Source organism: Homo sapiens, chromosome 12, assembly GCF_000001405.40.
Source record: "Homo sapiens chromosome 12, GRCh38.p14 Primary Assembly".
NCBI lineage: Eukaryota > Metazoa > Chordata > Mammalia > Primates > Hominidae > Homo > Homo sapiens.
In genome coordinates, this window is record NC_000012.12 from 63,136,027 (window position 1) to 63,152,447 (window position 16,421).

Consider the following 16,421-nt stretch of genomic DNA (forward strand, 5'->3'; position numbering starts at 1 on the left):
GTTCCAAAATGTAATGGGCTGCATGGTGCGATAGTAAGTTTTCAGGCACAGCAAGTTTATATGTGTTCATTCATTCATCGTTCATTCACTCAATAAATAATTACTAGTGCCTACTGTATGCCAGGCATTGTTCTAAATTCTGGGAAGATAGCTATAGATAAGAAAGACAAGGTCCCTGATCTTATATCACTTATATTCTAGAGTAGGAGTTGATAAACTTTATCTGTAAAGGACCAGATAGCAAATATTTCAGGCTTTGCAAGCCATGTGGCCTCTGTTGTGACTACTAAACTCTGCCATTGCAGTACAAAAGCAGCCATGACCAAGGGCTGGCAAACTATGGCCTGCAGGCCAAACCCTGCTTACTATCTTCTTTTCTAAATAAAACTCTGTTGGAACACACTCACAATCAATTGGTTCCCTATTGCCTGTGGCTAACTTTGTGCTTTACAAGCAGAGTTGAATAGTTGTGACAGAGATGGTATGCCCTGTAAAGCCTAAACTATTTACTTTCTTACTCTTTACAGAAAAAAAGTTTGCTGATCCTTCCCATAGTAAGTACATGAACAAAGAATTGTGACTGTTTTCCAATACAACTTTAATTATAGATACTGAAATCTGAATTTTATACAATGTTCATGTGTCAGAAATATTCATTTTGATTTTTCTCAATTATTTAAAAATGTAAAAACTATTCTTAGCTCATAGGACAAACTAAAACATGGATGAGCTAGATTTGGCTTGTGCATCATAGTTTGCCAATTCCTGTTCTAAAGTATGTTAACAAATCCACATATCTTAAATATTACTATTTTTCATAATAGGTGAGAGCCTATTTTTAACTCCCGTTATGCTGATAAATAAGCTACTGATTTCACCATTATGTTAATTAACAAAATATCTATTGTCAATCAGAAGAAAAGGTCACCAATATTCTTATAGTAGTCATCTCTGGTGGGTGGGGCTTTTCTGATAAAATTCTAGCTGCTTCCCCATTCCCTTCTACCACTCTGGGTGAAGTCCTAATTAGAACATTGAAATGCACCAGGCTTGTATTTTAGCCTAACTTATACATAATATCACACTATCTATGTGGACATATTATGGATTACAGACATCATAACACTTTAATATGCGGAGACATTCAACTCTTCTTTGCTCAGCAATCCCTTCTTACCCTTTGAGGCATACTTTACATAATTAAAAGGGCCTATGAATTTCCCAAACAAAAACACCATCCATCTGGGATACTATATTTAGAGGCTGGCTGTAATTCCCGACCCCACATAGCAATTTTTCTATCATAGTGCACATCAAAACAAACTACTCATGGTCAAATAGAAAAAAAAGTAAAAGTATTCAACTAGGTGTTTGACTGAAGTGATTAAGAAGTTTAATTTTAAATAATTAATCTAATAACTACTTCTAGGTACCATCTGAATTTTTTTGTGAAATAATTTCTTAGCATAAATTTTTGTTTTAGGCAGATGTGCTACCTCTATATGAAATTTTATCAGTTAAAGTTTATTTGTATAGTTACACACATAAAGATGACACACAAGTTCAGAGCTCAATGCTAACACTAATGATTCTTCTTCTCCACTTCCTACCAAAAGGGGTATGTAATTTTGAAACTAGAAGGTTGAATTCTGTTTAGAGGGTATAGACATAAATCTGACATTGGTTGATTCTGGGGCATGGACAAATGCAAGGTCAGTGATGTCATAATTTGTAAATAATGATTATAATTATTACATTCATTATAATCTGTTATGTACAGCCTCAATTCCTTTGACCCACTATTGCAAGGCTATATATTTGGGCAATATCCAAACCCCTGTTAAATCCAACTCTCTTCTAACTCTGCCTGCCCTCAAGCAGTGGACTGTGGGTAGGAAAAAGCACATAACCATGAGAATTGGTGTTACTTTTCTTTCACTGCACTAGCTTCAAGTCAGCCCTTAGTACTGTCAGGCAGTCCTCCCTCCCTCCCTCTCTCCCTCCCTCCCTCCCTCCCTCCCTCCCTCCCTCCCTCCTTCCTTCCTTCCTTCCTTCCTTCCTTCCTTCCTTCCTTCCTTCCTTTCTCTCTTCCTTCCTTCTTTTCTTTTCTTTCTTTTTTTTCTGGCACTACAAGATGCTCAAGAATCAACTTCTATATTTTTGTGCCCCAGTCTTTGGAATCAGACATTTCTCCAAGGAGCCTTAGTTAATTTTGTTTTGTGTTTTGGAGAATGGTCTGGATGCCAGGTGTGCTTGTTGCCTCTGAGGTGTCATTGCTTCTAGGCCCTCTCAACTGACAGACCAAGAAAATATTGTACATATATGTATACCAGCACATGTATACCCACATATCTAGAAAAATTTCCATATGTAAATACCTCTATCTATATTATACTGAACATGAGTTCATACTGATGTCTCCAACTCTAATCCATTGCCACACAGATCATCCTAACCACCTTTACTTGCTTTTCTGTAAATTCCAACTCCAATAGTGAAATACTTGGCTCCCACCATCCATTTACTTAGCCGTTCAATCTCAGAATACATGTATAGCAGTATCAGAATTGTTAAACCTTACTCCTATGGTAAACAGCTTTATCAACTAAAGCACACTGCTTCTGTGTACTTTCTTTTGCTTTCAGTATTACAGACTTCATTAATCTCTAAAGTTACTTAGGTCGGCACCTTTTTCCCCAACCCCCTCAGGGAAGTTGTTTCATACATTTATAATATGATTAGATTGCTTTGTCACATTCTGCATTCCATACTGGGATTCCCAGATGGAATCCTGCGAAATAATTTTTTAAGTTGAAAACTAAGGTTCGATTTTTATGTTATTATTCTACAGGTTTTGACAAATGTATAATTTCACACATCCAATGTTATAATATTATACAGAATAGTTTACTCCCCTAAAAAAAAAAATCCCATGTGCTTCACCTATCAATCCTTCTCCTTTCCCCTAAATCCCTGGCAACTCCTGATCTTTTTACCATTGCTACAGTTTCGCCTTTTCTAGAATGTCATATAATTTGAATTATATAGTATGTCCTCTTTTCCAATTGACTTTTTTCATGTCGCAATGTGCATTTCAGATTTATCCATACCTTTCTGATACTTGTGGGTTTGTTAATTAGTGTTGAAAGATTGTAAATAATTTTCCATTGATGAAATGAGTGCTCTACAAGATATGTGGCTGTCTAGAAAACTTGTATGCATTCCCCCCTCACCCTTTACCTATGAGCCTGCATAAGGAGAGGACTGGGAAAAGGAGAGGAGAATATAATAACTTTTTAGCCTTATAGAAAGAATACTTCGTTAGGATTTTATCAGTTGTGTTCATTATTATATTCACAGTGTTTAGAACGATGCCTACCATATATTCGAACTCAATATTTGTTTGTTGAATGAGTATTAAAACCCCACTGACTTGAGATGTTAGAAGAATAAATAAATGTAATGTTATTTTTATTGGTTCCTGTTTCTTTTCATTCCAATCAAATGCTGGACTGAGAGAGTGAATTTGCAGGATATTCACCAATTGGATAGACTTGATAAATATTCTTTATAATATTGAGCTTTCTGTGGCCATGCACAGCTTTAAACATTTTTTCTCTGATATTGTCTTCCCCCTCATTACTTAACCATGTCAACATTCTCTGAAAAAGTTAGGTTTCTCAATCATATAAATTTGAGAATTGCTATGTAGCTGGATAATGTTTGGAAGTGCATATTAATTTATGTTGTTGTCCTTCCTATCTTTCTCCCTTCCCTTGTTTCTTCCACAAACTAAAACAATATTTTGAGATGTGTCCCATCAATACCTAATTTATTGAGAGGTTTTAGCATGAAGGATTGTTGAATTTTGTCAGGAGGCCTTTTCTGCATCTATTGAGATAATCATGTTGTTTTTGTCGTTGGTTCTGTTTATATGCTGGATTACATTTATTGATTTGTGTATATTGAACCAGCCTTGCATCCCAGGGATGAAGCCCACTTGATCATGGTGGATAGGCATGGGCAAGGACTTCATGTCTAAAACACCAAAAGCAATGGCAACAGAATTCAAAATTGACAAATGGGACCTAATTAAACAAAAGAGCTTCTGCACAGCAAAAGAAACTACCATCACAGTGAACAGGCAACCTACAGAATGGGAGAAAATTTTTGCAATCTACTCATCTGGCAAAGGGCTAATATCGAGAATCTACAATGAACTCAAACAAATTTACAAGAAAAAAACAAACAACCCCATCAAAAAGTGGGCAAAGGACATGAACAGACACTTCTCAAAGAAGACATTTACGCAGCCAAAAAACACATGAAAAAATGCTCATCATCACTGGCCATCAGAGAAATGCAAATGAAAACCACAATGAGATACCATCTCACATCAGTTAGAATGGCGATCATTAAAAAGTCAGGAAACAACAGGTGCTGGAGAGGATGTGGAGTAATAGGAACACTTTTACACTGTTGGTGGGACTGTAAACTAGTTCAACCATTGTGGAAGTCAGTGTGGCGATTCCTCAGGGATGTAGAACTGGAAATACCATTTGACCCAGCCATCCCATTACTGAGTATATACCCAAAGGATTATAAAACATGCTGCTATAAAGACACATGCACACGTATGTTTATTGCGGCACTATTCACAATAGCAAAGACTTGGAACCAACCCAAATGTCCAACAATGATAGACTGGATTAAGAAAATGTGGCACATATACACCATGGAATACTATGCAGCCATAAAAAATGATGAGATCATGTCTTTTGTAGGGACATGGATGAAATTGGAAACCATCATTCTCAGCAAACTATCGCAAGGACAAAAAACCAAACACTGCATGTTCTCACTCATAGGTGGGAATTGAACAATGAGAACACATGGACACAGGATGGGGAACATCACACACTGGGGCCTGTTGTGGGGTGGGGGGAGGGGGGAGGGATAGCATTGGGAGATATACCTAATGTTAAATGATGAGTTAATGGGTGCAGCACACCAACATGGCACATGTATACATATGTAACAAACCTGCACGTTGTGCACATGTACCGTAAAACTTAAAGTATAATAAAAAAAAAATCTAAGGATAGGCACAGGATTTGCACACTGAATGAGATAAGGCTAAAACTACTTTACTTGAAAATTAAAGGAAAGAGTGAGCACAGAGAGGTACAGTTTAGGGACATTCTTCCAGGCTGTAGCTACTTATGTGACACAAGCTTATGGGATGGGGATGCTGTAAAAACATGGATACTTTGGTGAACCATAAATCTGGATTTTTTGGCAGGGGTTGGGGGGTTATAGACATATACTTTAAGTTCTGTTGAAGTCCCACTGTGTTGTGCCTAAGGACTAGCGTCCATTACTCCGGTGGTGACAAAGCCTTTCTATTAGAATTATTTTAAGTTTGGGCTTGAATCTCTAAATCCTTTTTTTTTTTCAACCAAGATGATTTTTTTTTTTTTTTTTTTCTGAGATGGAGTCTTGCCCTGTCACCCAGGCTGGAGTGCAGTGGTGCGATCTCGGCTCACTGCAACCTCTGCCTCCTGGGTTCAAGCAATTCTCCTGCCTCAGCCTCCCAAGTAGCTGAGACTACAGGCACCGGCCACCACATCTGGCTAATTCTTGTATTTTTAGTAGAGACGGTGTTTCACCATGTTAGCCAGGCTGGTCTCGAACTCCTGACCTCATGGTCTGCCTGCCTCGGCCTACCAAAGTGCCCAGATGCATTAAAGTGAACTTCCTACTATCATTTGCCTATAGATGGTAGAAATACCACAGCTCCTGATTCTCTCCTGTAGTACTTTTGTCACCGTACATTACTGCTTCTTGTAATTAAAGCTTTTTATTGTAAACATTCACAATATTTTATAATACCACATATGGATTACTATATACATATGTGTGTGTATATATATATGGATTTAGAATATCTATATTAATTCCATTAATTGAACATTTTTTATATGACTGGCACTAAAAATGTTCCTTTATAAATTTCTTTATGAGTCTCTTCTGGTGTACAATGAAACTATTATTTTAGTTTTATCTGATCCATAGGACTTTGTGAAAATGTCTTTGGTACAAATATTGTTTATTTTTAGGCACTTATAAATCTTTTGAAATAACAGTGGTATTTTAAAATAGATACTTCAAATTCTCTTTCTTCCATTCTGGGCATTCCCTGCATCTATGGTTTAAGCCAAACCCAAAATAAATATTTTAATTTGTTCTATTAAGATTCAACTTGTAAAAGAAAAAAAAGTTAGACAATATAAATTCTACAGTTAATATAATTTAAACTTATTAGTCTACTGGGAAAAAATTCTAATTTTGAAGACTATTAAATGGGAACATTTTTAATCTTTAGGCCCCAGAAGTCAGTCTTACCAACATTAAGAAATAAATGCACATAGATGATGTTTTTTAGGGCTGAATGACAAACATGACGTCAGCTAACCTCGATCATTTTGGTTGTCTAAATACAGACTATAACAAAATTGATTTGATTCCTTAATTATAACTTATTGAAAGGGCAGTTACAAATTTCACTTATTCTTGCTATGGTCACTAAAGCACAAACATTTTTGTGCTCAAATATCAACCTATCAATAGCTACCAACTGTAAAACCAGTCTTTAGTTTTTCAAAGTCAAAATAATTAACTTGAAATATATTTCATTGTCAAATAAGTTGTAAAAGAATTATTTCAAACAAATCCAAAACTTATTTTTGTTTATAGAAACAAGACAACACACAGTAAAATTGAGGAAATACAATAGTTTTTTCAATATAGTACCACAAGCCATTTTTTCTGTAAAGGACCAAATATTAGATACTATCACAAAACATTTTATCACTCATTCAAAACAAGAATCATTCAGTTGCCCCAGGAAAAAACACACTGAAATTATTTTAGATAGCATAATAAGCTAGAGGATATAGAACATTTGAAAAACAGTTCCAAAAAATGGAATACTAAAGATGCAACATTAATTCTTAGTACATTTGTTATGGTAATGAATTAAAGCATTATAGAATATATTCAAGTCAGAAATCCTGTAGTATGAAGACATACCTTCATATGTGAAAATATTATTTTATATTAATAATAATTATTCTGGTATTTATATCAGATTTATCATCAGATTTTCTTTCCTGAATTTATTAATAATTTGACCATGGAACACAAAAATATTTCATTCATTTTATAATACTTTGTTTTAATTATTATTTAGAACATAAATCAATGTAAAAATGTGGGTATATACATACAAAAATACATAAAACTAAAAAGCAAAAAAATGGCATTTAACATTTAGCCATAATAATATATAACATACTACAGGTCACATGTACATTTTCATTCATGATAACTTAGTATGCCTAATAATTATGTTAAAACAATATTCTTAAAATGCTTATGTATACAATGGAATCTTAAAATGTGTGTGATTCGAACCATTTACACTGTCTTAAGCACTCAAAAGAAAGAAACTGTCTTCTGAATAGTTCCTAAATTTTGGCTCAAATCGGCTGAGGTCCAATTCTAACGGAGAATCATTCTCTAATACTTACTGTCCTATGTTACTTATGATTCCAAATGTTGTCAACAATACTGAGTAGTACCAAAAGGGCTGGATGGAGGGGGTGGGCAGGGATACAGTGGCTGCTTCTGCATTTCCAGAACTAGCATCCCAGACGGCCCTGTCCTGGGCTTCCTCTAAATAAAGCTATTGCCTCCAATATGAATAACCATAAGGCTCCAATTAACATGGGTTTGTCTAACCTCTGATATTTGGGGTGAAGGATTAGGTTTAATTTCTCCCTGGTTGGCATCTAACTAAATTTTAGGTAGAGCCAAACTCTGAAGCCATAATTTAACACTCTGAAAGTCCAATTAAGTTACAAAAACATAGGCTTTAGAGTCTGAAAACATCAAACTTTAACCTAATCGGGTTTCTTGTGTAATAACAGATGAAAGTTGTTTCTTAATCATTAGTAGTTGTCCATTCTAGAAACTGTAATAAGCTTGGCAGGGTCCTGTGTATCATTAAGACTGCTTAGTATTTTTTTCTCTAAAACCATACCCTTCCCGAAATCATGGCATAAGACTTGTTTGATGATGATAGAAATTCTATATGTAAAACAAGTATATAATTAACCCAAGAATTTCACTGATTTCCTTCACAATTGTGTTCCAAATGAAATTTCAAAATAAAAGCCAAGTAGTTTTACACTTTAGAATACATGCTCCAAAATTAACCCATTAAGCACTTAATAATGCACTCTAAATTGTTTATTTACCATCATCAGTTAATATTCATCAAATGCCCAACTGATTAGTTTCTCCCTACTGGACATTTTTTATATATCACATTCCTAATACCCATATAGAGGCATTAAAATTGTGTACTTGCAGGATCTTCCCACTGTTAACTGTGAAAAATAAAATAAGGTGCTGCAACACATTTTTTTCTTGACTGTAAGCTGTTATTTGGCATAATATCTCAGGTCTTCTCTTTAGTCAAGAAAAGGAAAACTTCCCTTCCCGGAATACTTTTTCAGTTTCTCTTCTTCTGAAACAGACAGGCAGGTAGATTCCTTCCAATCTGAAATATTGTTTTGAGATATGTGGCGTCCATTTCTGGGTACATAACATTGAGAAAATTTAGCAACCAGACAGATGAAACTTCTCAGCCTAAACCGCAGAGAATAAGACCATGTATTTGCCTAGTGCAGAACTAGCACCCAGATCTCATGTTTCCCCAGCCCATTTTCTACTGTCTCATCTCCCAATACATTTAAAAGGAGAAAATACAACTGGGTAGGGTGATATGCACTTTTTTTTGTGAGCTGTTCTCAGAAATAACATTCAAATTGAATTGTTTTGCTTGGGGGTACATATCAACATTTTGAAGCAAGATCTATAGGTTCTGAGGTTCTTACTTTGGAAATGGATTTAGAAAAAAATGGGTTCATCTTAGTTCCAAACCAAAAAGCTTTAGTTTTTGAACTATCAAAGAGTTGTTAAAAGGACTGACAGTCTTCGAGTGCTGGGTTACTGAGATGCTACTCTAACTCAAATAATGAATTAATTAATTTAGTTATGGCTTATATTGGACAGTACCCTTTAAGAGACATATTTGTTATTTTTAGAAAGAAGAATTTGAAAACCTAGGGAGTCCCTAGGTTTATAATCTCTATAAAGCATTTGGAAACATGTTTTTAGGCCTATCAATACAAGGAGCCTAAGGGCTGAGAATTTCAAAAGGCAGAAGAATGAAGAGGAGTGAAGTTATCGCTTCCGGGTTCTCACAGTGCTATCCAGTTCTCATTTTCTTATCTACAAAGGTAAAAAAAGAAACTCAATAATACTATTAAAACCATGCTGGCCAACATGGTGAAACCCCATCTCTACTAAAAATATAAAAATTAGCTGGGTGTGGTGGCACATGCATATAGTCCCAGCTACTCGGGAGGCTGAGGCAGGAGAATCGCTTGAACCCAGGAAGCGGAGGTTGCAGTGAGCCGAGATCACGCCACTGCACTCCAGCCTGGCAAAAGAGCAAGACTCTGTTTCAAAAAAAAAAAAAGCAACTATTACTTCCTCTTAAGGATGCAAAATATTTATGATGTATCCTCAAATCATTGCATGATCTCTAAGAAGAAGAAGCAGCCAGACAAAATAGCTAGGAAAAAAATCACTGAGTTCCATTAATGAAAAATGTAATAACAGCAAAGTAGTGTAATTGGTCTCCGTTTAAAAATGGAAAAAATTGATGCTTGTGGGTGGCTTTGATCTACCTGCATTCAAAGAAAAGCAAGTTCTGTCTTTAAATTGGAAAACTTTAGTCAGGCAGGAGAAGTCAAGCTGAGCAGTCACTGGAAATGTTGTCCAATGAATCAGCGATCTATATTTAAATTTTAGGATTTTATATCCCAGCCATGAAATGAACCAATTCTAGTTAATGAAAAATAAACTGGAAAACATCTGTGCAATTTTGGAGATCCCAAGGCTATAATAAAAGCAACTGCTAGCATGTGTATAGTACTTTACTATTTCTGAAGCTCTTTTAACATATTTGATTTCATTTAGTCCTTACAACAACCCTGTGAGGTAAGTGTTATCAACCCCACGGTAAGTCAAGGAAACAGAGGCTTTATATGTGTTTAAGAAACTTGCCTAAAGTTGTGGATTTAATAATGAAGGAAGCCAGTCTGGGCACAGAGCAGTTCTCTTTCCATCTGTCACCCATGTCCCAACCCTGTCTCATCTCTGCTTTGCAATTGTTAGATGAGTGAGAGATTGGAAAGACAAAGCTATTTTTAATTAAACATGTTGGGACACTTTATATCCTGAGTCACTCTTTAGGATACTCATATTATGAATCTGAATTCCCCAAACATGAAGATAATGATCTTGTTAATGTCCAGCATAGCACAGGATACCCTTGTAACACTGATCAAAATACGTTTACAATGTCCAAGAGAAAGTCCAGAGTACCTTAAGCAATCCTTTTCTACTCTTTTAATAAAATTTGGCTTTCCTTATACAAATCTGACTTTAAAACAACCTCGCAGTGGGGGAAAAAAGATATTTTTGGCCAGTCAACATTTCCTCTCACCTTCAGCATCTCAGTTTTCATGCTTTTCTTGACCAATAATATGTGAGGAACCAAAAGGAGGCCACTGCCAGTTGTAAAGTTACCATTTTGAAATGCAAGGTGATTGATAGCTTCTAATAGAACTCTAAACTGGCCACAATGAGCAGGAGCTCATTACACCCCAGGCACTTGTACTCCTAGGAGGTACCATCCCATCTCCTGGACACTGTTTAAGGCTGCATTTTCTGATGCACAAATTAATTTTAATGGATGAAAACATAATTTCTCTGAAGTTTTCTCTGAATATTAAGACTGATGATGAGCTCTCTTTGTTCAGAAATAGTGCCGCATTTTATGTGACTTTTAAACCAATCAAGTCTTACTTATGTTAGAAATGAAAATAAAAGAAACTAACAACAAAATATAAAGCTAGGGTGGTTATGATTTTTCCTTTAAAAATATAACTTCTGTTGTATTTCTGGGAATCAGACCTGCATATTTTAGTACAGCATGTTTCCATTAATATTCCATACAAAATAATGTCTAGTTTTTGGTAGCAATATGAAAATGCAACTAGAAACACAGTCTCATACACAATGAATTGATTTATGGTTATATTAATAAAGTGTATTTGTTCTTGTGATTTCTAGCTCAATTCAGCTAATGAGCCAAAAAGTCAATCACAAGAATCAAGTTGCATGAATGCAAGGCTCAAGTTGAAACAGGAATGAATTTGATGGACTTGGAAGATTTAGGCGAGTCCTTCCACATACCCGTACTGTTTGTTGGGCTTCGATTGTTAGAATAAAAAGTCTGTCTTCTGCTCATACTGTCAGTATCTTCTTTGTTGAATTTTTCCTTCATGTTTTGGCAGCATGGGAAGCTTTGAACACAGTCTTGAAGGAGATGGCCACTAAAAAACATGTATATCCAGGGATTACAGCAGCTATTCAAGGAACCCAGTAATGCAGTGATGGTGATGGTAGGGTTTTCCGATTCTGCATGAAAAATATAAAGGGAAATCATGTAATGTAAGTGAACCATGGATAAACTCATTTTTCTATTAACTAATTAAGAAGGCATAAACTTCTGGATTATCATAGAAAATGAACTATTTTGTTTATCAATCAGGGAAATGGGGAGTGTTTGAAAATTGCTTGACTATAAAATATTTTTGTAAGCAAGATGCCTTAAAATTAATTCAAGTATTTTTAAAACACTATCAAAATATTTAAATAGAATTGAGTGGGAATTTTACGAGGTTAAGACTATTAAGTAATTGATTTAAAAAATCTCTATCTTCTATACTCGAACTAGCATGTGCTAATGACACAGCAGTTACAGAATGGCTACAATTGTAATGAAATTTTAAGATAATTTTAAATAACCATGTATACCAAATTGTATTTATCCTAATAACTCAGGAAAAAATATTGCATTAGGGATCAAGTTTAGTAGTTTTAAATATTCTTATAATATGAAAACCATACAGAAGAAGTCCCTGGATGATATAAGCTTTAGTTGTTTTTCTTTGGTTAGAAATTTGGAAAACCATCTGTGGTTGTGGTTCAAACAAATTATATTAAGAAGAACAGTAGAATTAGGAAATTCCAACAGGATTCTAAAATATTTTATGATAATTAGCACTGGTAAACTGCATAAATATTATAACCTTTCACAGTGGAGCTACAGTGCTGATAATATACCTTTTCTAAAAATAAGAATAATCAATAAACACTGACTTTTCCTTGATTATTAAATATAAACTTGGATCTTCTCACTCTTGTTATGCCAGAAAACAATTACAGGTTATTATTTAATCATACTTAGTGCTAAGATGCTGCTATCAAAGGTGATCAGGAGCCATGGGTAAGATGGTATTCACAAAGAATGAAAATTACCAACATATCTATGCACAATTGAAGTTTTTATTACTTGAGTGTAAATTCTGCTAAAGCAATAATTAGACTGAATTTCTTTATTTGATGGACAATATGAAGAGGCTTCTAAGATCAAGCAAGATAAGAAATAGCAAACCAAAAATAAAGTGTTTATATTGTATTTTTCATTATCGCTAGTATTATAGTCAGTAAGAATATTTAAGTTAAATTCATACTGAAATGTTTTATTTGCAAATATAACTTCCAAAGCATATTACATACCTCCCCTACTCCAATTCCAAAAAGCAAAAGGAGAACAGCTACTCCCAGATACCTATTTCCTGTTACCAGAAACATTCTGGTAACAACTGTACCATTGAATTTATTTGGTTTGAGTTCCGACAAGCACTGGAATTTATTTAGTTTGAGTTTTTGTCTTTACTAGAAGAAAATATTTTCAAGATGCAAAATTAAATAATTTTTTTTGCAAGTCACTGTGAAGTTAGTTTTTCTAGTTTGGGAAGGAATTAAAATCAAACACAATAGTAGGTGCAGAGAACATTTCCAGTAAACTACTGTAAGAGTTGGGTGGAGAGATGTAGAGCCGTGTGGTCAAATGAGTGGTGAAAGACTAATGAATTAGTCTAATGAATTTAGTTTATCAATAATTCTGCTTTGAAATACCAAGAAAAAACTATTAATCATTGTTAGAAAAAAATAGATTATAACGAGAAAGGAACATTATTAGCTAAATGCCAAATTGGAATTACTCACCTTCTAAAGAATTTTTCTCCAGCTTTCTTTAGAAATATATATCTGTTTCTATCCTTGCCCCTGAGGCATTTCTACACATTTTTAAAATTAATTGTAATACTTTTCACAATCCAACAAAAAGCAGTTGTGACAGTAAAAATATTTCCCTGAATCCAATAGACCTGAAATGGTGTTAATACAGTAGCTAGTGATTTAGCAAAAGTCATTCTTCGGCTTTGTAGTTGCTTGGCTGACTCTAGGACACAGTTTCTGGAATTGTGGTCTTAGGATCATTGCACACTACAAATGCAGAGTCCTGAGCCCCATTCCAGACATTCTTAATTAGAATGTCTGCATGGGGAATCCAGGAATATGCTTTTTTTTTTTTTAAACAGTGTTCCTCCAAGGTGCGACTCTTATGTACACATAGAAGTTTAAAAACTACTGCCCTAGAAGATACTATGAAGAAAATTGCTAGATTCTCATTTTTTTCTCTCTCTCTCTCTCTCTCTCTCTCTCACACACACACACACACACACACACACACTCCTATCCCTGCACTTTCCTCTATTTTCCCGGCACGTACCGGTCCAGACGGACATGGGATCCCAGACAGACCACATCTGGATGATGAAGAAAGGCGCCCAGCAGACGATGTAAGCCGTCACGATCACAAAAGTCATCTTCACCGTGCGGATCTTGGCCCGGGAAATGGACTTCACGCTGCTGACACAGGGTGCGAGCAGGAACCCCTTTTGGAAGGCCACACCCGCTTGCTCTGCACCCTTGCTCTGGCGCGACGCCGTCTTCCCGCGGACGTTGCACCAGATGTTGTAGCAGATGAAGCCGTAGCAGGTACCCAAGATGACCACGGGCGCCACAAAGATGCCGCCCGTCATCCAGGTCACGTAGGCACGAGAACCCCAGGGCTGGATGAAGGTGGCCCAGCAGTCGCGGGCCTTGGTGACATTGTTCACCTCGATCATGGAGAAGACGAAGTACTGCGGCGTGCTCAGCACGAAGCTCAGCACCCAGGCGGCCGCGATCATGAGGCGCGAGCGGCGCGCGGGCTGTTGCAGAGTCTTGAGCGGGTGGCACACCGCGATGTAGCGGTCGGCTGTCATGACTACCAGCATGTAGGCCGACGCAAACATGCCGAACACCTGCAGGTGCTTCACCACGCGGCACAGCCAGTCGGGGCCGCGGAAGCGGTAGGTGATGTCCCAGCACATTTGCGGCAGCACCTGGAAGAATGCCACGGCCAGGTCGGCCAGGCTGAGGTGTCGGATGAAGAGGTGCATGCGGGACGTCTTGCGCGGCGTCCGGTGCAGAGCCAGCAGTACGCTGCTGTTGCCCAGCACGGCCACCGCGAAAGTCACCGCCAGCACGGCGATCTCCAGTTTGGCCAGCTCCTCGTTGCGCACGTCCCTCGGTGGGCCGTTGCCCTCCCCGAGGGCTTCGGCCTCCCGGCTTGTGTTGCCAGCGCCGGTGGCCAGAGGCCACCATGGGCTGGAGTTGCCCGAGGGCCCCGCGTCGGGACCGGCGGAGAGACGCATGCTGTCCATGCAGCTCCTACTCGGCCCTCTTCGGAGCTCCAGCCCTCGCGGGCCGCTCCCTCCCCGTCTCGGAGGACTTGGGCTCCTCGTCCGAAGCGCAGGGTCTTTGGCGCGCTCGCAGCTTGCCGGGCTCTGCGATCCCTCCAGTGGGCGTCTCCCGGAGCAGCGTCCCGCCTGCCCACTGAGCAGCTCTCAGCAGGGTGAGCTGGCCCCTCTCCCTGCTCTGCCTTTTTTCAACTTCGGCGAGGTCGGGAAGGTGAGCTCCGAGCTTCCGGAAGCACTGGGTTCCCAACTCAAGTATTTATGCGGTGCTTGTTTCCTTGGGACGCGCTCCCTCCCGCCCTATTGCCGGAAGACTGCTGGTTGCCTACTCCCCGCTCCCTGGAGTTTTATTTTTTCCTCTCCCTACGTCGGTGTTTGTCCTCTGCATCACTGTGGAGGGGGTGGAGCTGGGAGACTCGCAGATTCCTCCTCACAGTAGGTGGGATCGTGGCGCTTTCCCGCTTTTCCCTTCCAAAAACTTGGACAACTGGACGAGTCATGCCTTTTCTGGGCTCGTAGCCGTTTCCACAAGCTTCCCTCACTAGCCTTCCTCGCTAGCCTCCTTAACCATGCATTTGACTTCAACAGGCACGCTAAGCGCGGTACCTGGAAACCTCCAGTCCACGCACCGGCGTCCACGCATCTAGCTCCTGCACCTGAACCTGGCTCTCGACCTCACCTCCTCCAGTCCGGGTTTCTTCCTTCTCACCGAGCTCACCCGTGCAGCAGTCTGGCAAATTTTATTCCCCAGGCAAATTTTCCCGGGGCAAACATTTCTCCCCGCTCGTGACTTAAAGAGCTATCTCTTCCTAGTAACGTCTTTGATGCATGCTATTTATTACCCTATGTTTGCGACGGGAAGAACGCACTCATCACTTTGCAGCCCCAGTGGCTGCTGTGCCTGTATTCACAGCGGGGTTTGGGGGGAGTGTCTCCTGGTTTTCTCTATGGAGACTAGGGACTTAAGGAGTTTTCTCTAGATTCCTGGGGTTTTCTGCGGGAAAAGCCTGATTCCCACAGCGGGGATGGCGGAAATTTGGCCGCAGTGGTCCGTGGGGACCGTCTGGTTACTACTGAGTCGTGGGGACATCTTTTTGGGTGGACAAAGAGCAGCTGCCGGACAGCGGCCATCCAGGCAGTGCTGTCCAGGGCAAGGGACAGAAAACCCGCCCGGCTCCTGTGCTCAGGAGTAAGAAAGAGGCAATCTCAAAGAGAGGAAAGAGGCCCTGGGAAGGAGGGGAAACAACCACCTACCTAGTAATCCGTTACTCTGAACAGCTGGAGCCCCTCTGCAGGGCGGGAGGGAGGCAGAAATGCGATCTCCCTCAGCTCTGTTTTAACGTTGGTGAAGATATGCCTCGACGGACAGCAAGGGGGAGCTGTTTTCAGGCAATTTTACAAGGAAGAAAGGAAGCCGTTTCTGCAGTTATCTGCTGTGTAGATGCAGGAGCATGACTTTGTTGGTCAGAACGTTTCAGTATTGTGGCCGTGGTATAAATTTAATTGCCTCAGAAAAATATCACCCTCTGTGAAACGTAGGCAAAAAATGCAAAAGATTTTATTCATTGC

At 38.6% G+C, this 16,421-nt stretch overlaps 1 protein-coding gene across 1 annotated transcript; it reads right to left on the bottom strand.

Annotated features, from left to right (window-relative positions):
* Nucleotides 1–6,732: 6,732 nt before the first annotated feature.
* On the bottom strand, nucleotides 6,733–15,175 carry AVPR1A (arginine vasopressin receptor 1A). The gene is made up of 2 exons (NM_000706.5): nucleotides 13,841–15,175; nucleotides 6,733–11,619 (listed from the first exon to the last, which is right to left on the bottom strand). Exons 1-2 carry the CDS (start codon nucleotides 14,808–14,810, stop codon nucleotides 11,333–11,335), a joined length of 1,257 nt encoding a protein of 418 aa, NP_000697.1. The 5' UTR covers nucleotides 14,811–15,175; the 3' UTR covers nucleotides 6,733–11,332.
* Nucleotides 15,176–16,421: the final 1,246 nt, after the last annotated feature.